The sequence below is a fragment of the Homo sapiens genome, chromosome 3 (assembly GCF_000001405.40).
Source record: "Homo sapiens chromosome 3, GRCh38.p14 Primary Assembly".
NCBI classification, from domain to species: Eukaryota; Metazoa; Chordata; class Mammalia; order Primates; family Hominidae; genus Homo; species Homo sapiens.
Window position 1 is genome coordinate 142,942,537 of NC_000003.12, and position 27,454 is coordinate 142,969,990.

The 27,454-nt window shown below is 43.1% G+C and overlaps 1 protein-coding gene and 1 long non-coding RNA gene across 4 annotated transcripts in view, besides 2 other annotated features; one reads left to right on the forward strand and one right to left on the reverse strand.

Annotated features, from left to right (window-relative positions):
- Positions 1 to 6,627: 6,627 nt before the first annotated feature.
- PAQR9 (progestin and adipoQ receptor family member 9) lies at positions 6,628 to 21,472 on the reverse strand. Of its 3 annotated transcripts, none has more exons than NM_001375300.1 (4): positions 21,316 to 21,472; positions 19,671 to 20,956; positions 10,255 to 10,314; positions 6,628 to 8,040 (listed from the first exon to the last, which is right to left on the reverse strand). In NM_001375300.1, the coding sequence occupies exons 2-4, from the start codon at positions 20,798 to 20,800 to the stop codon at positions 8,013 to 8,015; spliced, it is 1,218 nt and encodes a 405-aa protein (NP_001362229.1). In that variant the 5' UTR covers positions 20,801 to 20,956; positions 21,316 to 21,472; the 3' UTR covers positions 6,628 to 8,012. The 3 variants fall into 3 exon arrangements, with proteins under 3 accessions (NP_001362229.1, NP_001362230.1, NP_940906.1); NM_001375301.1 differs by lacking the exon at positions 6,628 to 8,040 and adding an exon at positions 9,027 to 9,270; NM_198504.4 differs by lacking the exons at positions 6,628 to 8,040; positions 10,255 to 10,314; positions 21,316 to 21,472 and having other exon boundaries at positions 12,049 to 21,138.
- Positions 15,772 to 16,971: an enhancer, noted in NCBI's record as "P300/CBP strongly-dependent group 1 enhancer chr3:142677150-142678349 (GRCh37/hg19 assembly coordinates)". NCBI's record gives its function as "activates an origin of replication core promoter dependent on BRD2, BRD4, P300/CBP, MED14 and CDK7 cofactors, with strong dependence on P300/CBP, by STARR-seq in HCT116 cells {active_cell/tissue: HCT116}" and the evidence as "EXISTENCE:reporter gene assay evidence [ECO:0000049][PMID:35650434]".
- Positions 20,167 to 20,352: a silencer, noted in NCBI's record as "fragment chr3:142681545-142681730 (GRCh37/hg19 assembly coordinates)". NCBI's record gives its function as "represses an EF-1alpha promoter that drives an FKBP-Casp9 reporter gene in an ReSE screen in HepG2 liver carcinoma cells {active_cell/tissue: HepG2}" and the evidence as "EXISTENCE:reporter gene assay evidence [ECO:0000049][PMID:32094911]".
- Positions 21,473 to 21,521: 49 nt separating the features above from the next.
- Positions 21,522 to 27,454, forward strand: part of PAQR9-AS1 (PAQR9 antisense RNA 1) — a 37,033-nt gene continuing 31,100 nt past the window's right edge. Inside the window, exons 1-2 of the long non-coding RNA NR_125393.1 lie at positions 21,522 to 21,562; positions 21,929 to 22,100. This is a non-coding gene — a long non-coding RNA (PAQR9 antisense RNA 1). The remainder of the gene's footprint in view (positions 21,563 to 21,928; positions 22,101 to 27,454) is intronic.

The window sequence follows — 27,454 nt, forward strand, 5'->3', positions numbered from 1 at the left end:
TTTTCTGTCATGTCTAAGATGTTATTATTTCATGGTATGGGTCAGGGGTCTACAGACTTTTTCTGTTAAGACCTAGATAGTAAATATTTTAAGCATTTCAGACCATACAATCTCTGTTGCAACTACTCAGTTCTGCCATTGTAGCACTAAAGCAGCTATAGACAATACATAAATGAGTGAGCATGGCTGTGAGCCAATACAACTTTATTTATGAATGCTGAAATTTGAATGTCAAGTAATTTCATGTGTCATAAAGTATTACTCTTCTTTTTTTTTAACCATTTAAAAATGTAAAAACTATTCTTAGTGTGTGGGCTGTACAAAAGCCGGCAGAGAGCCAGATTTGCCTGGGAGTTATAGTTTTCTGACTACAGTATACTTTATGGCCAGGAGCAGATTCAGGTTTTGTGGGGACTGAGCTCTTTACAATTAGGGGGCCCTCTTTAAGAAAAGGAATGCAAGACCAGGCATGGTGGCTCACGCCTGTAATCCCAGCACTTTGGGAGGCCAAGGTGGGTGGATCACAAGGTCAGGAGATCGAGACCATCCTGGCAAAACAGGGTGAAACCCCATCTCTACTAAAAATACAAAAAAATTAGCTGGGCATGGTGGCGGGCACCTGTAGTCCCAGCTCCTCAGGAGGCTGAGGCAGGAGAATGGCATGAATCTGGGAGGCTGAGCTTGCAGTGAGCCGAGATAGTGCCACTGCACTCCAGTCTGGGTGACAGAGCGAGACTCTGTCTCAAAAAAAAAAAGAAAAGAAAAGAAAAGAAAAGGAATACAAAATTACAAATATAAAATTAGATACGGTGCTTTGGAAGAGACCCATGCAAATGAAAGGCCCTGAAAATTGAGCCTCTTTGGCATCCTGGTGAATCTACTTCTAGTAACACTTGGACAATCTTGCTGCAAGGGTTCCCTGAACTGGCTGATCTTTGGAGTCACCTAACTACAGGTTCCAAAGCCCCAACAGGTTGCCTGAATTAGAATCTCTGAGGATAGAGCCTGGCAATCAGCCGTCTTGTAAAGCTCCCTAGGTAATTGTACTGTGAACCCAGGCTTGGCAACCACTATTTTAGTAACCATTTTATAACATCAAACAAATTCATTTGAACTGGTATCACAAACACACTCATTGCCTTAGTTGTGTTGCTTACCCAGAAATAGGTTTTAACTATTGTTATTGACCCATAGCCTGAATGTTTACTTATCAAGAATACCCTATTGTTCAATGACCTCAACAGAGAATATATAGATAACTTATGCTAGGCCATCTATCCCCTTTCTTTTTAATAAGAGTCAACACATATATAATAAGTTGGGTCTTCACCATTTGGGCTCATTTTAATATTTTTATGTATTAAATTTTATTTTAAAAACTATTGGTAATTTTTAAAAATCTTAAATCTTTGAGTTGGCATACAATTCAGACAATCTATAAAGTAAATAAATGGCTGTTGAAGAACATCTGACACTCATGATACCACAGTTGGGAGAGTCAAGTTTATAAACCTAGACATAAAGGTAGCAGTTGAGTCACTTGTTATTGCCTGATTAATCATCAAATGTATAGAAGACTCTTTTCATATCCCCTTATTATGCAACCTTTGTACTGTTCAAATTTAATATTATTCCCACAATGCTGAGATATCTTCTTGGTCAAAATTGAGTAGTTCTGTCTATAGAGTAGGTAGCATCTATTTTTGGCAAGATAAATGTGAAACAATGTTACTTTTAGTAAACAAATGCCTTGTCATTGCCAGCAATAAAGCTCTAGTGTCAACCAAAAGTTTCATTTTAAGGGTTGAGGAAAACCTATCCCAACTTTTTCAAATTACCTTTTTTAATAAGGACTTGAGAATTTCATATCCCAGAAAACATGCAAATATCAATTCTTCTAATTTTGTTCACTTATCGGAAGGCAAAACTACTTACTTTCCTGACTCAGAAGCACAAACAGAAAGTAAAGAATACTTCCTGATACATTGATTTTAACTGTTACTGGGGCAGTATTGACATAAATAGAAAATGAAGCTGCTTTTTTCATTGTTTGGAGGTTTCGTTTTTAGAAACTAGGGCAATATTATATCAAACTTGTTTCCTCCAACAAGGACTCCCACGTCTAGTAATGTATTCGTTTGTTCATTCATTAATTCATGCAAATATTAAATAAGTGCCTATAATGTGCCACATACTGTGCTGGGTGCTGAGGATCTCACTCTGCAGCCTGAGAACTTAGGTTCTAACAAGGAAAGGGAAACAATAAGCAACGGAATTTCACGTGGTGATATATGGTGTGTAGAAAGTAAAACAGGGTGAAGCCAGGTGAATGTACATGTATGTGGGCATGAAGGGGACAGAGGCAACTGCAGCTGTTTTTTTCTTCTTTCTGTTTTAGAGATAGGGGTCTCACTATATCCCCAGCCTGGTTCAAATTCTTGGGCTCAAGGCCTCTAGTAGCTGGGACTACAGGAAGGAGCCACAGCTCCTGGAGAAGGGGAAGGGGAACCTACTTTAGATAAGTGGTCAAAGGTGGTGGTGACATTTGAGTTGAGATCCAAACGGTGGAAAGGAGCTGGGCATTCATATGAAATGGGAGAGTTCTCTGATCCACCTGCAGGATGTGCAGCAGGGTTGTGGCTCGCCTGTTTGGTTACTGTCACTGCTCAAACCCCTGACAGGAATGGCAGCATGCAGACGGGCAGGTGCAGGAGCCAGGGCAAGTGCTTTGGGCTCTGGCCCTGTGGTAGTGTCTAGGGGTGGGTGCCTGTGCTCCCGGTGTTACAATGCTCTTTCAGCCTTGCTGTCCATGGACAGCTTAAGTGTTAACCAGCTCAATGGATGCTCTACTTTTTTGCAAGGGCAAAGGGCCAGGGTGACAGCTTTCTATATCCTGAGCGCTTGCCTAGCATCCCAGAAGAATCTGGTCACACACAGGCTTGAAGGATGAATGTAGGGTTTTATTGAGTAGTGGAGGTGGCTCTCAGTAGGATGGATGGGGAGGTGGAAGGGGGATGGAGTGGGAAGATGATCGTCCCCTGGAGTTTGGCCATTCAGCAGTGGAACTCCTCTCTGACCACTCCCAGCTGAACTCTTGGCATTCAGATGTTCCTCCTCTTCTTTTTCTCTGCTATGCCATTTGTCTGCTTGTCTCCCCGTCTCCTTGTTGGCTCATCTGCTTCTGGAGCCCGGGGTTTGGGGTTTCTATGGGTACAGGACTGGGGAGCATCGTGGGCCAAAAGGTAACAGAAATGCCTGTTCCTACTTAGGGCTGAGAGTCTCCAGGCTTAAGGGTAGGGCCTTTGCTGGGGAACCATTCTCTTCTACCCCGTATTTCCCTGTCTCTTGTCCGTATCACAGAGATCTTAGGGAAGAGATATCTAGAGCTGTGCTGTCTAGCACAGGGGAGACTGAAGCTCTTGAAATGTGGCTAATGTCACATGTTGAAGTGATATTTTGGATATAGTTGCTTAAAGAAAACATTACTAAAATCAATTAAACACCTAACAATTGGCAGTATCTTTGCTGGATTCCTCATTACCAACATTTCTAGCACTCAATCTAAGTATAAGCACTACAACCCTGTCACTATCTCATGCTTGAAACAAATTAACATGGTTAACACCTATAATTCCACTAATTCAATTCATCCAATTGTTTGTACAGTTTTACACTTTTTTGTGGCTTTAGAAAATTAAAGAAATACATACATGGTTTACATTATATTTCTGTTGGACATCACTGGTCTAAAGAGAAAATCTTAATCCAGTTCTTGCACACAGGTCCCTTGGATCCTCATGGATTGGGTGTGTTATGAGTTTGACCTAGGCCAGGCACAGTGGTTCTTGTCTGTAATCCCAGCACTTTGGGAGGCTGAGGTGGGAGAATTCTCTGAGACCAGGAGTTCGAGACCAGCCTGGGTAACAAAGTGAGATCCCCGTTTCTACAAAAATTAAAGAGTTTGAGCTAATAAAAACACTAGCTACAATGTACTGAACAGTTATGGTGCGCCAGGTGCGGGGCAAAATTGCTTTACATCCATTCATTGTATCCTCATGCTGTGAATGGAAAGGGGTCCAGATCCAGACCCCAAGAGAGGGTTCTTGAATCTCATACAAGAAAGAATTCAGGGCAAGTCCATACAGTAAAGTGAAAGCAAGTTTATTAAGAAAGTAGAAGAATAAAAGAATGGCTACTCCATAGGCAGAGCAGCCCTAAGGGCTGCTGGTTGCCCATTTTTATGGTTATTTATTGATTGTATGCTAAACGTGGGGGGGGGGGCGTTATTCATGCCTCCCTTTTTTAGACCACATAGGGTAACTTCCTGACGTTGCCATGGCATTTGTAAACTGTCATGGCACTGGTGGAAGTGTAGCAGTGAGGACGACCAGAGGTCACTCCCTTTGCCACCTTGGTTTTGGTGGGTTTTAGCTGGCTTGTTTACTACAACCCGTTTTATCAGCAAATTCTTTATGACCTGTATCCTGTGCCGACCTCCTGTCTCATCCTGTGACTTAGAATGGCTAACCTCCCGGGAATGCAGCCTGGTAGGTCTCAGCCTTATTTCGCCCAGCCTCCTCTATTCAAGATGGAGTTGCTCTGGTTCAAACGCTTCTGACAATACCACTATGAAGTAAGAAATACTTCCCGCTCTATTTTACAGATGAGGAAATGGAAGATGAGAGGCAGAGTAGGTTGCCTAAGGTGATAAGAGGATGAAATAACGGCGCGAGAAGTCGAACCCACTCCAGATCCGCCCATGCAAGACACAAGAAGCCACAGGAGGAGGAAGGGGCAGGCGGGAACTTAGAGCACCTTGGCGTGCCCAGCCCGGCGCCTACTCCCTCTCCTCTGCGCCGCTGGAGGCCTCGAGTTCGTGTCCTCTCGGCGCCTGCCTGGCTCCCCTTCCGAGGCCGCAGCGCCCTGCCATGCTGGCCTCCCCGCGCTCTCCCTGAGACCCAAGCCGACTCCCAGGCCGACCCCGCCGCCTGCGCCCAGCTGTGTCGGATCTACCTGCCCGCGACCGAGGAGCTCAGGGACTGCCCCAGGAGATGCTGCCTCGCCCGACAGGCGCCCCGGCCCCTGCCACGCCTCCCGCGCCTGGAAAGCACGACATCCCGCAGGCAGCATATCTGAGCCTGCATCGGCCTGCGGGAGTCCAGCCCGAGCCATTTTCCTGCCTGTCCCCACTCCTGACAGCCTGTGCCCAGTTCCCCTCAGCTCTCCCATGGTTCTCCAACGGTCCTTTCTGGGAACCCTTACAGCTTGGAGATCGTCTCACGGTGACCAGGGTGTTTCTGAGTTGTGTGTGTGTGTGTGTGTGTGTGTGTGTGTGTGACCACTGGAATGTCAGAATCCCCCATCCCTACCTTGGAAGTCCCGCTTTTTCCTCCCTACTGTTAAGGAACTTCAGACTGCCCCTCCACAAGGTTGCCTGCCTGGGCAGTCATCCAACTCCATGTCCACCGCAAGGACAGTGGGGACAGTGCACCAAGACACAAGGACCAGGCTGGACCCTAAGATGCTCCGAACACCTGGGCAGCTGTTCCAGACACACCGTCCCATTTTTCAGGATGGCACCTGTTTCCTGTTAGAGATTTCTTAAGGGAGATTGTGAATAATCACCAGTGATTTTAGTGGCAGCCAAGTGACACTGAAGCTTGGCAGATGTCTGTCAAAACCAGCTACGGGACTGGACAGCGAGGACCAGGAGAAAAATGTTTGTTTTTTTTAAAAGATACTCTGGTATTCGTATGACAAGACCCATTTTGTTATGCCCAAGAACAAGGGGAGAACCTCATCTTCGCCATACTTGAGTCTGACTCAGTGTGGCTGTGACTCATCCTTCTAGGACAGTTCCCCTGCCACAATAGCGCAAATGATGGCCTGGGGACTAAAATGACTTTGTCAAACAGTTGAATGGAGAGAAAGTGGTAGAGTTGCCACCTAATGCCAAGAACCCCCCCACCCCCGAGCTTTTCCTTTTTTTTTTTTTTTTGAGACTGAGTTTCGCTCTTGTTGCCCAGGCTAGAGTGCAATGGCACGATCTTGGCTCACTGCAACCTCCACCTCCCGGGTTCAAGCGATTCTCCTGCCTCAGCCTCCCGAGTAGCTGAGATTACAGGCATGCGCCACATGCCTGGCTAATATTTTTGTATTTTTAGTAGAGACGGGGTTTCTCCATGTTGGTCAGGCTGGTCTTGAACTCCCGACATCAGGTGATCCGCCTGCCTGGGTCTCCCAAAGTGCTGGGATTACAGGCGTGAGCCTCCACGCCCGGCCAGCTTTTCCTTTTAAGCTGTTCTCTTTAAGTTCATTGTAGCCAGGTTTCATGGCGAGGCACCATGATTTATACCACTGGCCCTGGATCCCCTCACGTGTTTATGTGACAAACTGGCACCTGTATATTAACAAGCTTTACATTTGGCAAGACATAGGTAACACCAGAAATCAAAGTGAGGGGCTTCTGGCAGGATTTCACATCTGCTAGCTTTTATATTTGATGCTTTCTCTAGGAGCTTGGCAAAAAGAAAACACCAACATCAAAAGTAAAAAAATCAAATCAAAACAAAAAAATCAAACCAAAATAAAGATAACAACAGGCGAGAACTGGGACACGATCTTCTTATAGTTGGCTTATTACCTGTATCTGTAGAATTATTTATTTCCTTAAACCTGTTTCCTTTTGTACTTTATGACATTTCTGTGTAACTAAAGTAAGAATCTGAGAGAACTCTAAACTGATATTTATAGATCCTACCCTCAAAACAGATAGACAGTGAGGTAGGGATGAACTAATGCAGTCAATCACTGAATTAATAAGAGCTGGAGTAAAAACTAGGCCATTAGCTTCACTCAGGTCATCCTGAAGTAGTAAAGTAGCTCTTAGAGAATTACATTTTGTACTAATAAATGTTCACTTCTGCCCACCTTTCAGTTTTCCACATATATTTTTACAACTGCAAAGTATCAAGATAGAGAGAATGGACATTATGGGAGCAGGCAGGATGTGAAACCTCTTATTAATCCTATGGCTTAAAATTTATTTATAAATTGCAAAGTTAATCAGTTTCCTTAAATCTTCCATCTTCCATTTCTTTTAGGAATTTTTTCAGCTCTTAAGAAAAAAGTTTTTGGAGGTCAGAAACTGATAGTGGACTTCTGAGAAAGGGAAGAGAGAAAGTAATTCAAAAGTCTTGTCTCTATGTGGAATATCATTTCCTTTCAAGCTGCAGAGTTTGAGTGGGTGTTTATTTGATCCTTCTGTTCCCCTCTCCCTTTCTTCTTTTTGTATTCCCATTAAGTGTAGGTTACACCTTTTGTAATTGCCCCACGGTTCTTGAATATTCTCTTCTGATTTTTTTCTAGTCTTTTTTTCTTTGTTTTTCAGTTTTAGAAGTTTCTAGTGACATAGCCTCAAGCTGATTCTTTACTCAGCAGGGTCTAGCCTAGTAATGAGCCCATCAAAGCATTCTTCATGTCACAATGTTCTTGATTTCTAGCATTTATGCTTGATTTTTTTCTCAGAACTTTCATCTCTTTGTACGTTATCTGTTGGTTCTTGCATATTGTTTATTTTTCCATTAGAACCTTTAGCATAATTATTTTAAATTCCCAACCTGATAATTCCAACATCCCTGTCATATCTGAGCCTGTTCTCATGCTTGCTCTGTTTCTTCAAACTGTGTTTTTTGTCTTTTGGTAAGCCTTGTAATTTTTTGTTGGAAACTAGTCATGATGTACAGGGAACAAAAGAACTTGGTACTGGTTCTTGCAGAAATTTCTTCTTGTGGGTTCCTGCTCTGTTAAATTGTGATTCTCTGTGTCTACCTGTTATGTCTCTCCAATTTTGGGGGGCAGCAGTTTGCTCTGTGACTTCATGTCTCTGATGGACCCAAGAAGAGTTGTTGATTTTTCAGTTCAGCTTTTTACTTGTTAAGATGGAGTGACAACTTCTAAGCTCCTTACATCCCATACTGGAAACTCTTAAGTCCTCAGTCAATATTCTTTCATTACAGGAAATGGGAACCTTCTGATGAGCTTAAGGTGGGAAAAAGGAACAAAAAATAAAGAAATAATGTATTGAAAGGCTATGGGGTAACTCAGAGAATTATATGAAGACCTGTGCAGGCAAGTCATGGAGAATAAAGAATTGAGAGAAACTCTGGGCTTGCAGGGCTACCTTGGATTGCAGTCCCACCAAGCTTCAGTAGGAAGGATTATTCCTCAAAGGAAATTCAGGGCACTGCTAGCAGAAGCAGAGGGATGCATTACAGGGATAAATACCTTTGTCCAGGGAAAGAGGAAACCAAGCAGTGCTGAGATCCTGACTCACTCTGGCCATTCCCCACTGGAATGGAGGACCACAGTTAATATTTTAGATCAAAGACTTACAGGATTCTCACCCAGTGTTAGAATTCTGAATACTCTTTAGTGAATTTTTGGTTATTAGGGGTTGAATTTATATATGAACATTATATAGATGACATTGATACATGAGAATAGCACTTATTGTTCATAGGATTTATTTTATTTTAGTTATTTTTATTTTTTAATTTTCTATAAAGATGGGGTCTTGCTATGTTGCCCAGGCTGGTGTCAAACTCCTAGCCTCAAGTGACCCGCCTGCTTGGCCTCCCAAAGTGCTGGGATTACAGGCATGAACCACTGAACCAAGCCTGGATTTATTTGAGACTTTTTCATTTGACATATATTCTAAGTATCCATATTGTGTCTCCCTTTACCCATTTTAAGTAAACATTATGGAAAAAAATTCCTAGGTAATTATTTTCCTAGTGTTTCTTTTTTTGCTTTGAAATAGAATCAAACTCTCTGAAGTAGCTGTCTGATTCAGAACCTGCTTTGTTTTGCCAAGGAAAATTAAAGATAAAAAATTCAAGGCCCAGTAGACTACTTGCCAATGATTGATTTGGGGAATAAAGAGCATTCCTGATCACCATCCTTTTCTGCTTACCTGATATATCAGTTTGGGGTCAATTGCAGACAACAGAATCTACTGAAGCTAGTTGGTGCTAAAGGGGATTTATTAGTAGGCATTGGTTGGCTTACAAACTCACTAGAAGAATTACAGGAGTGGACTCAAGGTTTTCTGAACAAGAATTAGAATGTCTCTAAATTGAGCAGGAAAGCTGACAGAAAGTGGCAGAACCAGGAAGCCACTGACCAAAGTCCTTCAGCTATACCGGTATAGATGCTCTATCTTCACTCTTTGAGAAAATTGATGTCAGGCATGAAAGTCAGCAGAGGAGACTGTAAAAGAGTAGTACAAAAGTCACACAGGCCAAAGGAAGAGTGTTTCAAAGAGAACAGAATGGGAAAGAGGATCTCAGAAAAGTCTATCCATCAACAAGGAGGCTGATGGAAATCTTAGAAGAATCATTCTAGTGAGCTTAATGAAGCCAGAATGCAGTGGGTAAAGGAGTGAGTGGGAGGTACGAAAACAAAGGCGGTGTGCACTACTCTTTCAAAAAAGCCTGGCTGTGAAAAAGAAGGGGGGGGGGTGTTGTTAGAGTGTGACATAGTGGGGAGAGGGTGACTTTCTCATTTTAGAAGGTGGGAGAGACTAGTAGTACATTTTTAAATTCTTGTAGGAGGAATCCTATTGAGTAGAAGTAGTTGATGAACATACAGGAGAACAATGTGTAATGGATAGAGTGTGGTTCTTGAAAAGGTGGGAAGTGGTAAGATCAGAGTTGAGGAGAGGGTGGGAGTGGTAGGGTCAGATATTTAAAATATCTGCAATAAAGAATGGGAGAGAGCAGTTCAGGCATCACTTCGGGGTCACTGGGTAGCTTTGAATCCTAATACAGCATATCTGTACTTAAAAAATGAAGTATCACAAATATCTAATAGGTAGATTCTAAAACGTGGGACTGGCTCAGTCATGGTGGGATGGGAGCTGTGCAAATCCTGTTATACATGGCTGAGAAGTTAGCAAATTTTATGGATCTGTTAAGATACTTCTGATTACAAGGCATAAATATAACTTAAACTCAATTGTAAAATGAAGGAAATGTATTGGCTCACATGGAAAAGTCCAAAGGTGTAGAGGTGGGCCTCAAGCACAGTTTGATCAAGGCTTCCTTTGTGAGTTACTTTGTTTGGCCCCACTCTATGTTCTGGCTTTCTTCTTATCTTGTCTTCCCTCAGGATTACACTGTGACTGTTAGTAGCAGCCAGGGCTGAGGATTCCAGGAAAAAACAAGAAGAGTGGGGAGGGACAGGAAAACTTACCTGCCTTCTGCTGCTTTTTGTTCCAATCCAATCTTCCGTGATTTGTCCCCTTGGCAGAACCTAACAAAAAGCCAGAGGGCAAGAGAGCTGAGAATCAGCTCCAATACAGAGCAGATGAAGGGAAGTATGGGAACGTGAATCTAAAAGCAAACAAGCAGATATTTGGCACAGGCTCAAGAGATACGAGACAGCCCAAATGGAGCAGCCCTCTTAGGAGTGGCCCTGGAGCAAGGTAGACAGAGATCTTCCCAGCACACAGAACCTGAAGAACTCATTCCACTACCAGCTTGTGGAGGCCTTGGCCATCCTAGGCCACAGGGGGTGATGGCTGCCGTATACTGGTGGCACAGTACGCCATTAGAAATGGTATGCTGTTCGGGGTGGGAGTTTGCCTCTCAGCTAGCCAATTCTCCACCTTTCTACAGTGAGTTGGGGGTGGCTGAATGTCTTATTTAGTCACATCCTGACCTGAATGAAGGGAATTCCCTTCATTCACATGGAGAACCTGAGTGCTGGAAGTTTGCTGCTGTTCTAAGTGAAGGCAGCTTTGGGTTGTCTTTGGGAAAGGGGACAAGAGTGCTTCGATGGTACAAATAAAAGTTGTATTACATTAAGGAAAGCGTATATAAAAAAGGAGAGTGTGTGCTAGCCAGCTAGGGGCTGGGCTGTGGTTGCTATTGTTTTGGGCTGTTAGCATGGTTTTCTTCCCTCCTCCACATGCTCCGGAGCTTTAACAGGGACCCCACACTGGTAAGACACTTGGCTTGGAAAGCACTTTACACAGTGCACATGGCTCAAACCGCCAGTCTCCCATGATCTTTGTCCACACACTCTTCAGGAGTGTGGATTATAGTGGAATGCCTGTGGACCAGACAGCCAATGGGTTGGATGAAGTGGACAGCTGTTGTTTTTGTCTGCCCATCATCCCTTCCTGTGGGAACTAACCTCCACCCTCCATGCGGTTCTGGAAAGGGCTCAAATCACAGGCACCCATACCTTGTCTCTAGAGGAGTCCATGTGACCTCAGGTAGGCCAATCTGATACTCTTTTCCAGGAATTTGAATTGGGGACAGACACAACAAAGCCAGGAAAAAGCTGACCATGGCTCATCTGGTGGCAGTGCCCTGAAGCTAGTTTATCTGGTGGCAGAGCCCTGGAGAGGCAGGGGTTTCTCACCAGAATCTCTAGCACTGCCCTGCTCCCTTCCTTCCTGAGGCCTGGGTGGTCAGCTATGTGCACTCCCCAGTGTTCCTCCTACAAACCTTTTCTTCCTTCATGAGAGTTTTCTGTTCCTGATAACCAAAAACCTCTGAAACAATAATTAACATGATTTAAAGACTTAGCCATCACCACAAAGTTTAAGAGTTGAAGTTGGATCTCCCTTGCTGGGGTTATTTAGGACAGAGATACTGTAAGTTCACACACATCACCAAGGTTCTGGGACAAGATGTGTTACACAGAAGCCCATGGACTCTATATGCTTTTGAAAAACAGAAAGGTGGAAGAAAACATTTCATAACCTGGGTTATATAAGTATTTTCTTACAAGATATGGCTTCAAAGTAACACATGAATTTTCTTTTTAATTTATCTAATATGATAAAAAAGTAATATACTAAGGGTGCTTCAGGATAAACTTATACTCTTGCCTTCTGCCTGCTGCATTTTATGAAAAGGGTAATGTTTTTTCTTATCTTGTTTATTAGTGTTATGAATATTTTACTGTTAATTTAGGAATACCCTGTTGCTGAAAGATAACTGTTGGACATGCACAGATGTGTACGATCCTAAACACTGTGCTTACAAATAATTTATTCTTATTTCATACATTTGTTTTTCAGCAAAAATGCATAGTCATATTATTTACACAGAATTTCATATTCAAGACTGTAGGGAACAAATGTCTCAGGAAACCAAAATCATAGCAAATCATACAACAGAAATGTGTCACATTTTTTTTTCAGCTACATGCACAGAACTGGCCAAAGTGATACCTATTTCTATAGATTATTTTATCACATAATGGAGAATTAAGATTAAGTAACGCTTTTCTGTTAGAATACACTATTGATTTGAAACCACATGTTAGTCCATGCCTGGAAGCTCACGTATCCTGAGAATGCCTCTCTTGCTAGCTAAATACAGTTCTTTAGGGTGTAGGTAAGGACTGGAGTAAGGGTAGCCTAAAAAGAATGAATCTGGCAAGCAATGGGAAAAATTTCTTTGTGCGCGCATCATTTTTACTCCCTTCTTTCTCCGTCATCACCCTTAAATGAACTTAAAAACAAAAACAAAAAACAGACACATGAAGGTCTCTATTTGATCACTGTTAACTCTTCCCTCTGCCTCTGACCTGAGGAAAAAATGAGTATGCCCCTTCAAGTATAATGCCCTTTACTGCAAAAGGGGACCTGCTGGTTGTACATTCTTGCAAATCCAAGAACAGTCACCGTATTTAAAACCTTTGTTTGGAAATGGGTGAACCTCATAAGGCAGATGGTTGGAGAAGGCCTAAATACACATGGAATCCTTTTAGAAATCTTTTCTCTTCAAGCTGGATATGTGGAAAGTGAAGTTTCAAGGGTAGTGAAAATGGCCTGGGAGATGGCTGAAATGAAGAGAGTTCAGAGCGACCACATGGTCTATACAAATTAAAAAAAAAAAAAAAAAAAAAAAAAAAAAAAAAAAGCAGCCACAGAATCCTCCCCCAGCCCTGAAACACAGAAAGCCTTTTTCTGGTCCATATAGTGATGGCATGGGGCTTATTCTTCTTTCTATTCTGAAGAAACAAGGGACAGAGTTCCAGGGCTGTACATTTTATTGGCTACGTTATTCACCATGCTTATAAACTCATCAAAGTGAAAGGTGCCTCACCTCTTTATTGCCTTGGTACTCAGTTGATTGGCGAGAATAATTTTGTTCATAGCCTCCAGAAAAGAAAACTAGCCTGTTTGAAAAGTAGACCTTCTGTGCTAGGTTTTGCTGGAAGAGGGAATTTAATAAAGTTTCTAACCAGAATTTTTAAAAAGACTTTTAAATTTAGCCATGAGACACACCTAAAACCTATCTCATGTGTTTTCTTCTTTTTTAAAAAATGATTTGTATCCTTCTTTAAACTATACATTATTTACATTTTTAAAGACCTACTAGGTCTTTATCATTTGAGTAAGAGCTCAAGGTGATTAAACTCACCGGATAAAGATGAGTCTTTCCAAAAAGCTCTGGTTCTCACTTATGTGCTAAGGCCTGTTTTTACAAACAAATGTCTATTAGAAACTTTACAAATATAAAATTAAAATACTTTTTTAAAAAATTTTCCCAGGAATTTTATTTTTTGCATCCAGCATATTAAAAACAGATTATGCTTTCCAACTAGAGATGGAACTAAGAAGAAATGAAATTGTGTCCCCATGCTTTATCTAGAAACAAGAGTTTATTTACACAGTGTCCTTCTTCAATATCATGGTGTACTGGGAGAAGCAGGGCCATCTTTACAGCACGGCCAAATGACCACCTGAAGACCCCCCATTCTGCCTTGAGTGCTTATTGCGTATTTTGGGTGGAGGTATAAGGCATGAGGGAAAGGTGGCCTGTCACTTTTACACATTGGAGAATAATTTTGCACATTCAAGAAATTTTCCTTGAGAAATGCCATGTTTGGAATAGCTTCCAGAGATTGATTGAGAACAAAAGCATTAAAGCAAGTGCATTACATTTAGAAGCACAATACATTGGGAAACATTCTCAAAAGCTCAAAGAGCAGGCTGTTTTTCCACTGAGCTAAATAGTAAATAAGTGTGCATACTGTTGCATATAGGTATATGTTCAGAGCTTTCAAAAGTCACATCCTGCCACAATTAACAGCTAAATGAGCATTCTTGGCCCCTGACCTATAAATAAACACTCTAATTCTGCAACTTGCTCACAGATTCTTAAGGAGCCACTCTAGAACAAAAATGCCTACAAACTGGTTAGAAATCTGCAAACCAGAAATGCAATACAGTTATCCTTTTTTAAATGACAACAACAGAAATTTATATTAGCTTTTGGAAGAGTGACTAAGAAGAACTGACATCCATTTTCACAATTAAGAAATAATTATTCACAATACCGAAGAAGCCAAATCTTCAATAAGAAAACGTGTGGCCTCTCACAAAAGAACACAGTAGTGCTCAGCTCCAACCACTGAATGCTTCCTTTTTCAGTTTGTCTAGGCTTGTTCGCTTTTTGTCAGGTGATATATGTCAGAGAATATTGACAATCCTTCAAGAAAATGATTCAAAAGGTGATGTACAATTGGCTGGTGCTATCCCGTAATGCCTTTTTGCCTCTGTCCTAATTTTATGGAAACAAAGTAAGGGCTTTAAGCCAGGAGATAAATGTACCACTCAAAATATACCTGGACACTCGTGCTCAGGTCAAACGCTACAAGATGTGGTTAAGCTGACAAACAGAATTCCTTGCCTGTCTACTCGAACACTAACACCCTGGGAGTTCACATGCTTTTCTAAGGACAAAATTTAAAACTCAGGCTGACTGCACAGTTGAACTTGCTGCCCCATTCTGACTGTTTGACTCTAATCCTCTTTGTTCTCCCCTTCCCATGCATTCTTCCTATCTTTTTTACCTCTGACACTTTTTAATGATTTCCTCCAGATTAATGTTTTCTAAGACATGTTTCATAAGTTACAACACAAAGATCCTAAAAGGCTAGAGAGCATTAGTTAATCTCAGTTAATTTTGGAGATCTAGCCATTTACCTTCTTATGTATGTGATTGGTTTGTTTGTTTGTTTTATTACACTATAAAATTCAGACACTTAAAGACATCTCAATTTAGGCACTTTGGATGATCCACTCTTCATAATAGTATGAATACTATCAATCTTCCAATAGTTATCGTTATTAGTGTTTTCATAATATTAGTGATAAGTTTTTCAATTCTGTACATATGCCGACTATCCCCTCACTTGGATTGTACATTACATTTTCAAGTTATTTTTAACAATAGGCCTAGGAGCACACAGAAAAAGAAAAAAGAAAGAAATTGATTGCTGAGGAAGTCAGCATGTGAATAGAAATAAGATTCTATGGATTGCACTTATGCTAGCAAAAAAAGAGACCCAAACTCAGGGACTTACGGCATTCTACCTACAGCCAAGGTCAGAGTTTGGTTCCTGGCCAGAGAGACTTTCTGGGGCTTCTCTCTTCCACCAGAAGACAAAAGGGTAATGGCTGTAATAATACGGATGGGTCCTTGCCCAATGTCTTACACACAGTAGGTGCTCAAAGATCATGAAAGGTATGATATGAGTGCATGAATGAACAGCTCAAAGATTGCTGACAGAGTGAAGTCAGCAGTGGTAAACTTCAACAGTTGAAGAACAAGATGGTAACAACCATTTTAAGTGGCTGATAACATTTTGTTTGAGATATTTTGATCTAATTTCAAAGACAGCCCTATCTCACTTTGCTCAATTTTAAAGTTAGTCAATTAAGGGACTGTATCTATATCTCTTTTTCCAATTAGTGTCTGTGTGCTTGGCCAGGCATCATAGCCATGCAAACTAGTAAACACAGTTGAGCAGACAATGGTCTCCGCATTCTAATGCCAGTTTGAAAACTTAATCCTGTCACCTTGGACCAACTATAAAGCTTTGAAATGGAGATAACTCCCACCATACCTGTCTCCTATTATAGCTTTGTGCAGATTAACTAATTAAAGTTATGAAGAGATTTAAAGATAAAAATTCCTGTTTATTATTGCTGTTAGTCCTCAGAGTTGGCACCAAATCAGGAAAAAATGATATAAATCACCTCTGTCCCAAAATTTTGCATTCTTAGAAATGATTCCTATGAAGTATCACTATAAATTAGGCTAAATTGTTTTTTGACTGCAAGCACTTACAAGCTGGATTTATGAATGGAAACATATGAAGGCCACTCTGTCCAGCTCTGTAGCCCCATACTTTCTCCCTGGGCTATTTATAGAAAGTGTATGGCTAGTGGAAAAGTTCACATTTATTTTTACAAGCCAGTCATGACATGACCGAGGAACTCATTTCCTCTCTCTGGGAAGGTCATCCTCTTCACCTGAGCTGCAAGAACGGCAGGGAAGAAAGGAACCCCATTAGCCAACTAAGTCAGTCTGAGTCAGCCCCAGAGACCAACCCACGGGGTGACAGGCACCGAAGTCAAACACCTTCATTTTCCAGGCATGACTCTATGGCGCCGCTCCTTGAGATGTCATCCAGATCATGACTAACAAGTAAAAATGAAACATATTACATAATATGCTTCAAAATTCTACTGCCAAAATAGGTTGTACATAGATAATGGACTGAATTCTTATTTATAATTTGTCCTACATTTCAAACAGCTGAACACAATAAAGTAAAACTGAATTTTAATGTGGCAAAATGGAAAGTGTGAAAAATATTTTAAAATATATATTGTTCTGATTGCCACATTACCTTGAAATGTGTAATAAACCTGGATAGTTCCGTGCAAATGGGGAGATTCAAAGTAAATATTCACTTCTAAAACATCAAGAAATTTAATAAATTCAGCAAATAAACTGTATAGTTTAACAAATCATCCCTGGCTTTGACTAGTGTATATGGTACCTATTTGCAAACATGAAGTGAAGCCAAACCAGTTTTCAACTAGAATGTCCTCTTGTCATTATTATATGTGGTCTACAAAATCTAAGATGGAATAGGAAAGAACAGTGGACGAAGGAAAAGGCAAAGGGAAGAGGAAAGTGAATCCTCATTCTCTCTGGGACATACTGGGTGCTGAAACCTGTGTGGCAAAAAGTGTGTCATCTCACTGTACTCATGCAGCATAATCACCTGAAAAATGATATGGGTATAATTTTATCCTTAAGTGGCCTCTCCTTAAGGTCAAAGACAAAGGACAAGAAGAGAATTCTGTCTGTGGACCTGGAAGAACAACAAAAAATTAAAATGACAAATTTGGTGTTTTAGTTATTGTTCTCAAACTCATTAATCCTTGCTAGAAGTCTTCCTCCTGAAAGTTCCTTCTGAAATTGAGGTCCCATTTTACAAAGAAACTACATAATACGCTTCACCCTGTTTCTCTAGCTTCCAAACCAATGTTCTTTGGGGCTCTAGAAAAAACAACAATGACATGCAAATAAATTTGCATGTGGAAATATCCTGATTTCCACAGTTGTCCTTGAATGCATCTATTGAATTAAGTTACAGCTGAGGAATAACATCTGTTGTAAGTACAAATTAGCCTCTGTAACCTAACAGGAATCTCCTTGCACTTCACAAAGGATGAGACACTGACACTCGTCAACAACTGTGCAAAGTGTATTTACAATCTCAGTAAGAGATTCTAAATTAAATATAGACATATATAAATTTAACTTCTATGTGCAAAGTAACACACACAAGGATACCGGTTCCTCCAGGGAATTGTGCTGAGCTTCTCTGTTTACAGAGAAGTGATTAAAAGCATAAACAAAACCAGCAATTGTTTTAGAAGTGCCAGCCTACCAGTGCTGAGGTAAGTGTTCATCTACCTCATATGCATGATCTAAGTTATATCATAAAATCAAGATGCACCTGTGGGACATGATCATCCTGCCCAAGACCTTCAACTAGGCAGTGGAGATCAAGCCCAAGATAAGCCACCACTACCTGGGCAAGCTCTCCATCACCTACAAGCCAGTGAAGTACAGCTGGCTGGGTATGAGGGCCACCCACTCCTCCTGCTGAGCCAGTAAAGGCACACATGTCTCCAAACAAAACAAAACAAAAAAAACTCCCAATCAATGACTTATTTGGCTTCTAACAAAATGACCTACCAGGAAGTGTGGTAAGTATTTAAACAAGTCATCTCAGTGGTTTGTGTTAATCTAGAGTGGCCATCTCAATTACAGGTTAGCATTTGTAAGAAATGTCTAAATAACATTGGCTAATCTGTTTGTTAGAAAGGATCTCAGGGACATGCTCATGAATGTTTCAAGGATTTAGGGTGACTGCCCATCATTTCCATAGTCTGGAACCAAATCAAACTTCAGCGTTTAACTAGGCAAGTGTAATCTTATTTAACTCAAAATTTTCAGTGACAACTCAATAATGTGCTCCTGCCTTTCATAATAAAACTGCCTTGTTTATTCTTGGATATTATGTTTTTAATTTTAAGCAAGGATGGATGGCATCAGTCTAGAACTTCTCCCATGGCTGCATTAGAAACACATCTACATTAGAGGGTTGGCTCTTTGTCCTTGTTGGGAACCCAAATGCTCTGCACGCTCCTGTAAGCTATCTCCAATCCCACCAAAAACTTGAAACCAACACCATCTTCTGCCCTCCTGGATGGACCATGAAACCTTGATTTTCAGTCAGGTAAGAAAAGCTTATTCTTACTACTCTCCCCATGTAAGAAACTGTGTTTGAGGACCAGTCATTTGGACTTTGCTTCAAAAGGCACATTTATTCCAGTGGCAATTTAAATAAGTAGAGAAGGAAAAAAAAAGATTAAAAACAAAACAAACTAACAAAAACCAGGATGGGTTTTGTGGAATACATTAAAGTAAACAAAAATCTGGGGTCTATACAAACCACTCGAGCTCCTCACCAATAGTTTAACCAGAGTCCCTAAGGTAGAATTCACAGTTGTATCATGACACACGCCTTCAGAAAACACTGTTTAAGAAAGTAATTGAGAACTCTCAAGCAGCTTCCCCTGATGTCCAGTTCAAGTGTATGCAATGCAGAAGGCTGTGAAATTCAAAACTATGTGACAAAGAAAATTCAGTGCGTACCACAGGCTTTGATAAATTATGAAAAATCAATGTATATATTACTATTTAAATAACATCTGAAAAACATTTTGAAATAATTAACTTGTGTTCACATTCCATGCATTTTCTAGCAGGTTAAGCCCTGGGTTTGCGTCTTTGTGCCTGTTTCCTACAAAGCTCCATTCTTTTGACAAATCCAAGCATTCCTCAGACTGAAACAGAAGTTCCCAAGGATTCTATTTACCCTCTTTACTGTGTACCTGACCTCACAGGGGCTACTCCTTATTACCAATGGCACAGATGATTGGAAAAGCAAACTCTTTGGGGCTTTATTTGGGATTTTACTCACTGCCTTTGAGAAATCCCTGGATGTCAAAGACATCACCTGAATTTTTTCCAGGGGCAAGAACAAGTGACTATCTCCCTCCCGCTTGACCACCCCTGCCAACCTCCCTACTTCAAAGCCTCCAGTGGGTTGGGATCCCTTTGTAGCAGTGAACTTTTTCCCTATGGTTTTGCAGCACCTTCCTTGAGCAAAGAAGAAAACACAATGAAATTTGAAAACAAACCAACAATAGCAACAACAGAAACTCCAAACAGATGGGCGAACCAGTAGTCTCCTCCAAGGCGGAGGCTCACTTTTTACTGCAGAATTCGGAGCTGTTTAGGAACTTCCTGATTACCAGCCCCAGGCAGACCACCAGCAGCAGCATGTAGCCCACAGTACCCGAGAAAGTGGGTGCGGCAGGCGGCGCCTGGAGGAACTGGCGCAGGCCCTCTTCTACGTAGTACACCTGGTCGTAGATGCTGAGGAAGGTGAAGATGTGGAAGAGCTGGTGGCTGTGGCCGATAATGTCGAAAAGACCCGGCTGGATGCGCTCGGGGATCTTGCTCACGTTGAAGAAGGCGGCCACCACCAGCCAGAAGTAGCGGCGGTAGAAGTGCACGAAGAGTGTGGGGTTCTCCCCACGCAGGTCGAAGAGCCAGCTCTCGAGCATAATGGGGCAGGCCATGCTGAGCGGCATGACGAAGACGAAGGTGCGCAGCGCGAACGGGTAGGTACACCAGTCGGTACGGCTCTTGCAGCAGGCCACAGTGCAAGCCACCGCCAGCACGAAGGCCACAGGCAGCACCAGGGCGCGGTAGGCGGCGATAAGGCGCGTGCAGTCCACGTGCCAGCCCAGGCGCTGCTGCAAGTATGGAGTCATGACTCTGGCATCCAGCAAGCTGAGGCCTGGCAACAGGTAGTAGTAGTAGGCCACCGTGCTGCCGAAGCCGTAGTAGCTGATGGACGCGTAGTCCAGGTAGAAGAAGGCGGCGCGCAGACGCAGCGACAGGCAGCTGAACACGTGCGCCGTGCAGCTCATGGCGAAGGTCAGCAGCACTCCCGACGCGTAGCACCACAACGGTAGCAGCCACGGGTGGTGGAAGGGCACGTCGCCGCCGCTCAGGAAGAACAGACGGCAGAACTTGCTCAGGAACAGCAGCAGCGGGATGAAGTGCGTCCAGAAGTTGAGCGTCTCGTTGGTAGGCTTCAGCACCGAGGCTAGGCACTCCTGGGCCGTGCACGGCAGACGCCGGTAGCCCGACAGGATGAAGCACTCCACGAAGTCGTCGGGCACCTCGTCCCAGCGCAGCAGCGGCTTGGCAGACGCTGGGGGGTCCCGGGAGGCGGCAGAGTGGGAGTTCCGGGCGGCCCCCGAAGCTGCCGGGGCCGGGGCCGGAGGGCCTTTTGTGCCCGCGCCCCGGGGCTGCAGGCGCCGCGGCATGGTGCCCGGGGCTCGGCTAGGGCGCGCGCAGGCGACCTCTGGCGCCGGCTCCCGGGCGCTGGGCAGCCCCCGCCGGCCGCCGTCGGAGCCTTTGTGCCCACGCCGGGGGCGTCGCTGCAGGTTTAGGAGAAGACCCGTGCCTCCGAGCAGCCGCTCCTAAAAATTAAATAAATCAATAAGAGAATCAATTAATAGGCAGCGCTGCGACCGCCAGGAGCGCGGAGCGCGCGAGGCTCAGCGGCTTCCTCGCCAAGCCCCTGCTACCGGCGCGCGGCCGCCCGCGCTGCGGCAGCGGCGGCGGCGCGGCTGACTGCGGCGGCAGCGCGGCAGCGGTGACTGGGCATCGCGCGGTGCGGGTGCCTCCGCCGCCGCCGCCCCCGGAGCGGGAGGTGGGGATGTGCGAGCCGAGGCGCGGAGGGAGGGACGGGCGCACCGAGGAAGGGCGGGGGCCTCCCAGGCTAGGGTTTCGCGGCCGCTTCGGGGGATAGAGTTGTCCCCTGTCTCGAGTTCCGTACCATCCCCCTCCTCGGGCCGCCGCAGCCCGGGCCGCCCCGTTAATGATTGATGCGGGGGCCGCAGGCTGGTCGGCGACGCGGCGGCGCGCGCGCCGAGTACTAGAGTCGGCCCTGGGGTTCGAAACCCGACAGCCACGCGGGCGTTCTGGAGGACACTGGGGAGCCGCGTTCGCGGGGGGCGGGGAGCTGCGGCTGCGGGGGGAGGGGAGGGCGCCGGAGCCGGGCAGGGCGGAGAGATGCGCCAGCGGTAATCTCCGGAGGTCGCCGGGGAGGGGGGCACTCCGGAAGTCGGGGGGCTTTAAGCCCGCGTCCGGATCGGGGCCGTGTCATTGTCAGCTACCTGGGGATGCGCCTCTCGCTCCCTCACTGTCTTTGCGTGTGTGTTAGTGTGTGTGTGTGTGTGTGTGTGTGTGTGTCGGCCTGTCTACGCACTACACGAAGGCTTAGTTGGTCTTCTTTCGTCTAGTGGGCGCACTCAGGTGCGTCACCATTCTGCCGTTTCCCTCGCCCTTGTCCTGTCCGAAAGAACCGTCCGCAAGCTGCCCTGTGGTCGCGCTCACCAGCTCTTCGAGCCGCAGCTAACCCATCTTCTTGTTTTTGTGTCTTTAACTAGGACTTCTATTTGGAACTGAGTCCGACAGCTCAGGACTGGCTGCTCAAACTCCACAATTTAATGAAAAATCTCAGATGATGACTCAGAAAACCTCTAATGATCTGAGGAATATATTAAGGGATTCCAGAGTCAAAGGCTGATCATGGAGGGCATTGATGAGGGAAGACTTCAGGTAGGAGGTGCATTCTAGCAGGAACTGAAGAGAATGAAGTCCAGTTGGTAGAAACGGAGGGGGTGGCTTGGATAAATCTTATATGTAATTAATCAGAAGTACCTGGCAGGTGGCTGGAGACCAGAAGAAAGGAACACTGGAAGAATGAAAACGGTTGTGATGCACTGCAGTGTGAAAATATGCCCTTGAGCCTTAAAGAAAGGGGCTTAAGGCCGGGCGCGGTGGCTCACGCCTGTACTCCCAGCACACAGATCACGAGGTCAAGAGATTTGAGACCATCCTGGCCAACACGGTGAAACCCCGTCTCTACTAAAAATACAAAAAATTATGTGGGAGTGGTGGCGCACGCCTGTAGTCCCAGCTACTCGGGAGGCTGAGGCAGGAGAATCGCTGGAACCCAGGAGGCGGAGGAGGTTACAGTGAGCCGAGATCGCGCCACTGTACTCCAGCCTGGCGACAGAGCGAGACTCCGTCTCAAAAAAAAAAAAAAAAAGAAAAAGAAAAGAAAGGCTACTTTCATCGCTACTGCACATCCTCTAAGTAGGTTAAGGAAGATTTACTTAGTAGAGCCTCAAGATGGATTTAAGTTATGGATAAGAATTATTTATAACTAGGATATCATTCAGTATTATAAGTGTCTGCAGTTACTTAAGGATGCTAGAAACAGTCTAGAAGTTTCAGTCTTCTCTCTGAAGTATACTTTCAAGTAGTAACTGATTTAGCAAGCTCTTACACAATTAGATCAAACGTGCGCTTCAGTCTTCTGCCTTTCTGCACTGCCACACATTCCTGTCTAGTGGATTTTTTTTTTTAGGCGTGGATTTTTAAGAAGTGAGATTTTGTTGTAGTTATTTAGCCAGTGTCTTATTTTAGTGTTTTCTGGTTTTCCACTGTTTGTAGCTTGTTTTAAATTGAAATCTAATTTCCTTTTATATCTGGACTGAGGACCCATGGCTATTTGTAAAATGGATTAAATTTAGGTGTTTTAATCAAGTGTAGGAATGATAAACTTGAATCCAGGGCAGGCCCGAACTTTTTTTTTTTTCATATTCCCTTTGTTACTCCACAAACAACCAGAGCTGTCACGTGTAAAAATGGTGATCCTATAATAATTCTTATATTTACCACACTCTTAGTTGCATAATCAGCTCGCTTACATAATCTAGAAAAATATAATAGAAAGTTCACTTCAAGCAAAACAATGGAATTGACTGTAAATGGGTATGCAAAAACTTGAGTTAGATAAAATATCTTTATGACAAAGAATGGTGAGATTGACTCTAATAAAATATGTTCTTTTAAAAAATCAGTATTTTATAAAGTAAAAAAAAAATGTTTCATGTTAAGTCTTTGAAAAAGTCTTTGTGATATCTGCCTTTGTCCTTTCTCACACATCCCCTACCCTGCTTGAGGCACAAAACCAGTTGATGCCATGGAGTGAGTGGTGTTCATGAAAGTTCACTGGTGCAGAGCCCAGTCAGCTGTCCTTGCTATACCTTGACAAAGCTCAGTAAAAAGGAACTAAGGAAACAGCAAAACTGACCTAACTTATAAAGTAAAACAGCAATATGGCTTTTCCTTAATTGCTACCAATCTATAGAATTAATTTCTCTTACTTTTTAAATTGAGATATAAAAATGTGGCCCCCAAATCCTGCACAGGCTGAGTTTTGTAGTTTGTTTTAACTCCAGCAAACTGTCTCTTGTCAGTGGGAACCATGCTCACATCCTCTGGACTTGGCTAAACAGAAGCAATGAGCAGGGTGCCATTCCCTGAAGGTGCATTGGGACATAAGGCATCTCTAAGGTAACCAGGACTGACTGCAAAGTTTTTGACAGACAAGAATCACCAAGTTACACTGGAAAGCCACTGCTGGCATTTAGAGGCAAATGCCAGCTAGTTCTATCAATTAAAGTTAAATCAAGACCACAAATGTGGTGTTGGTAGTTCAGTGGAGGCTCTGTACATCCAGGTGTTGAGGGGTCCTGGCTGCAAAATGCAGTCATGTGTCATGTGTTGAAACTGTAGCAAAAGGGATGAATGCTCTTTTCAGTCTGGTTTGCTTTGGTAATGTTCTTGTAGACCAACTACACGTTTTTGTTTCTTTCTACAGGAATAATATTAAGTATATGTAAAAATGCCACTGCAAATTTGATGTTGTTTAGTAAGGGCAGTTAGCTATCTGTAAAACCAGCAGAAAAATATGCTGTGTTATTGGCTAATAATATACCTATTTTTAGAGGAAATAATTTTTTCTTGTCTAATTTTTAGCCAGAAAACAACCAACTAAAGAAAGAAATAAAAAGAAAAGAAGAAAGGAAAGAAAGGAGAGAAAGAAAAGGAAAGAAGGAGAGAGAGAAGGAAGGAAGGAGAGAGAGAGAAAGGAAAGAAAAAAGAAGGAAAGAAGGAAGGGAAGGAAGGAAAGGAAGAAAGAAAAGCACAGCACTATGGACCTAGTGCTTAATTGTACCCAAGACTCTGTATTAAGAGAGAACTCTGTAGGGTTCAGTCCCTCTTCTCAGAATATATAGTTTAGGCTGGGCACGATGGCTCACGCCTGTAATCCCAGCATTTTGGGAGGCCAAGGCAGGTGGATCACTTGAGGTCAGCAGTACGGGACCAGCCTGGCCAACATGGCGAAACCCTGTCTCCACTAAAAATACAAAAATTAGCCAGGCATGGTGGTGCATACCTGTAGTCCCAGCTATTTGGGAGGCTAAGGCAGGAGAATCACTTGAACGTTGGAGGCAGGGGCTGCAGTGAGCTGTGATTGTGCCAGTGCACTTCAGCCTGGGCAACAGAGCAAGACTCTGTCTCAAAAAAAAAAAAAAAAATATATATATATATATATATATATATATATATAGTTTAAACAAAGTGCTTCCCTTTTCCCTAAATGGAAAACAGCCATGATCTGACAGGTCAAATATAGTCACTACCAAGTCATATAGTCTAAGCTTCCTAATTGTGGAAAATCTAATGGTATCAGGTGTAACTGTAGCAACCTCTAGTGACAAGTGCAATCAGAAAGCCAGGTAGAGGGCTGGGAGAGAGCAGTGGGAGACTGAGTTATCTGGCACTGTTCCTGCCTGCTACTGACTGGGTGACAGACATGTCTCTCTGTTTTTTTGTTTTTTGTTTTTAGAGGTGGAGTCTTGCCCTGTCACTCAGGCTGGAGTGCAGTGGTATGATCTCGGCTCACTGCAACCTCCACCCCCTGGGTTCAAGCAATTCTCCTACCTCAGCCTCCCTAGTAAGTGTAATTACAGCTGCATGCCACCATGCCCGGCTAATTTTTTTATGTTTAGTAGAGACGGGGTTTTACCATGTTGGCCAGGATGGTCTTGAACTCCTGACCTCAAGTGATCCGCCCACCTTGGCCTCCCAAAGTGCTGGGATTACAGGTGTGAGCCACTGCGCCCAGCTGACAGGCATCTGTTTTGAAGAAAAGCTAAGGGAAACTTGAGGATGCTTTTTGTTTTGGGGGTGGGGGGTTTTTTTTTTTTGGTTTTCTAAGGCTTTATGAAGGGAGTGACAATGCTACACTCCCCTCCCTCAGCAAATTCACCTATTTTCTTCCTGGGGTCTCTAGAGTGGTTTCACAAGACTAATGAAGGGGAAGAATAAAATATTACTTCTGCTTAAATAGATGTCATCCTTTTCCATGCACATGCTCTGTGAAGGTTTTATGATGCACTAATATGTAGTCTATGAAGATAATGTATAAATAATATGTTGGGACACGAGGGTGAACCAAAACACTTCACCTGATAAGAATGTGCGACCCAAACTGCTGACCTACTCTCGATAGTCCATTGCTCTTGTTTGTCCAGCCTGCTTCCATCCCCTCTCCCAGATCCAAGATGGATGCCATTTCCTGCCACTCAGATGGCTGGAAAGGCTGTTTGGGGTCACCATCTGTAAGCCAACAGTCCCCAACCTCTGACCAGACCTGCCCAAGTGCCCAGGCCTTCAGCCCCTTCTACAGCTTCCTTGACCTAGGATGGTGGTCTCTGCTCTGGAGCTGTTTTTCCCAGGTCTGCCCTTCCTGTTTCCTGATTGGAGCCTATATTGTTTTCCTACAAAGGCCTTGTATTAACTTACTATATTGAATGTAATTCAGAGTTACCTTTTGGGGAGGAGACTTGTTTTATCATAGGCTGTTGCTTGCTTTTGATAGAGCCTTTTGGATAGCTTCCATTTAACTTGAGAAACACTTAATACAAGTGTGTGAGCTAGATTACTGAGTTTCTTCTCCCCATTATTTATCAACAGTTCTCCTTGAAACAAAGATCTTTGCACATAGTAAGCACTTAACACATTGTGGCTGGGAAATTTTTTCAGTACCGTAAGCTTTTAAAAGGTTAGAACTTAGAGTCCTAGAATCTTAGAGTAGGACTGCCACTTAATCCTTAAAGTCATCTAGTCCAACTCTCTTCCCATTCGTTATAATTGCTTTGGTTTATTGATAATGTACTATATTCAGGTATTGTGATAGGCGTTTTACATATACTTAATTCTTAGAACATTCTTTGAAAGGTGAATGCACTAATCCCATTTTCAGACAAAAAACACAGAGGCTTCAAGAAGTTAAGCAGCTTGGGTGGCAGAACTGTAGTCAAACTTTATTCATTCCAAACCCCTTACCCTTTTCTTTATAGGATGCTGCCTCCTGAGAAGCTGTTGTGTAGCGAGCCTTGACCATCTCAAGGAAAGAGACTTACTGTCTTACACAGCTTCCCCTTCTATCTTAAGATGTTGTCATTGTTGTTAGAAAACTTTGTAAATAATTAAATGAACATAACTGATAAGAAAAACACCCTGTTGCATCTTGGCCCAAAGCACAGCCATAAGTGTTATTGAGTTGAACCAATAATATCTGGTTAGAAAGTCCCCAGAAATAATGATGCCAAATTAGGCATGTGTACAGTATATGTGGAATGTGATGGCTGGACATTGATTAGGCACATTTATTAAAAGAACATCTTCCTCCAAACAAATAACAGCTGTGAATCCCCAGGGGGTTGCCATACCCTAGATCACTGCAAAGAGGCAAATAGAAGATTCTGTGATTTCCTAGATGATCTTTGCACTTAGCACAATGATATTGATTATAGTAATTGATTAATACACAAAAGAAAACATTCTGCTATGATATCATTGCCTACTTAACATCAAGGAGAAGGCATCTCAGTCACTGGGCTCTGTTTGGCTCTTAGTTAAAGTCGCTGCTCGTTCCCTTAAGTTTTTTAATATAATGATTTTCCTTTTCATTGAGATTCAATATCTGTCTGTTGAAAATATTTATGAACTTGATTATCTAGGTGCCAATCACTAAACTAATTGAACGGTAT

What these genes read in the sequence shown, in the direction of transcription:
- PAQR9 (NM_001375300.1), bottom strand. Translation starts at nt 20,800, where the DNA reads ATGCCGCGGCGCCTGCAGCCCCGGGGCGCGGGCACAAAAGGCCCTCCG. An exon ending in TCCGAATTCTGCAGTAAAAA is followed by an intron (nt 10,315 to 19,670) that starts GTGAGCCTCCGC and finishes GCTTTTTGTTAG; the next exon opens with GTTCTGCCAAGGGGACAAAT. An exon ending in CAAAAAGCAGCAGAAGGCAG is followed by an intron (nt 8,041 to 10,254) that starts GTAAGTTTTCCT and finishes TCCCACCTTAAG; the next exon opens with CTCATCAGAAGGTTCCCATT.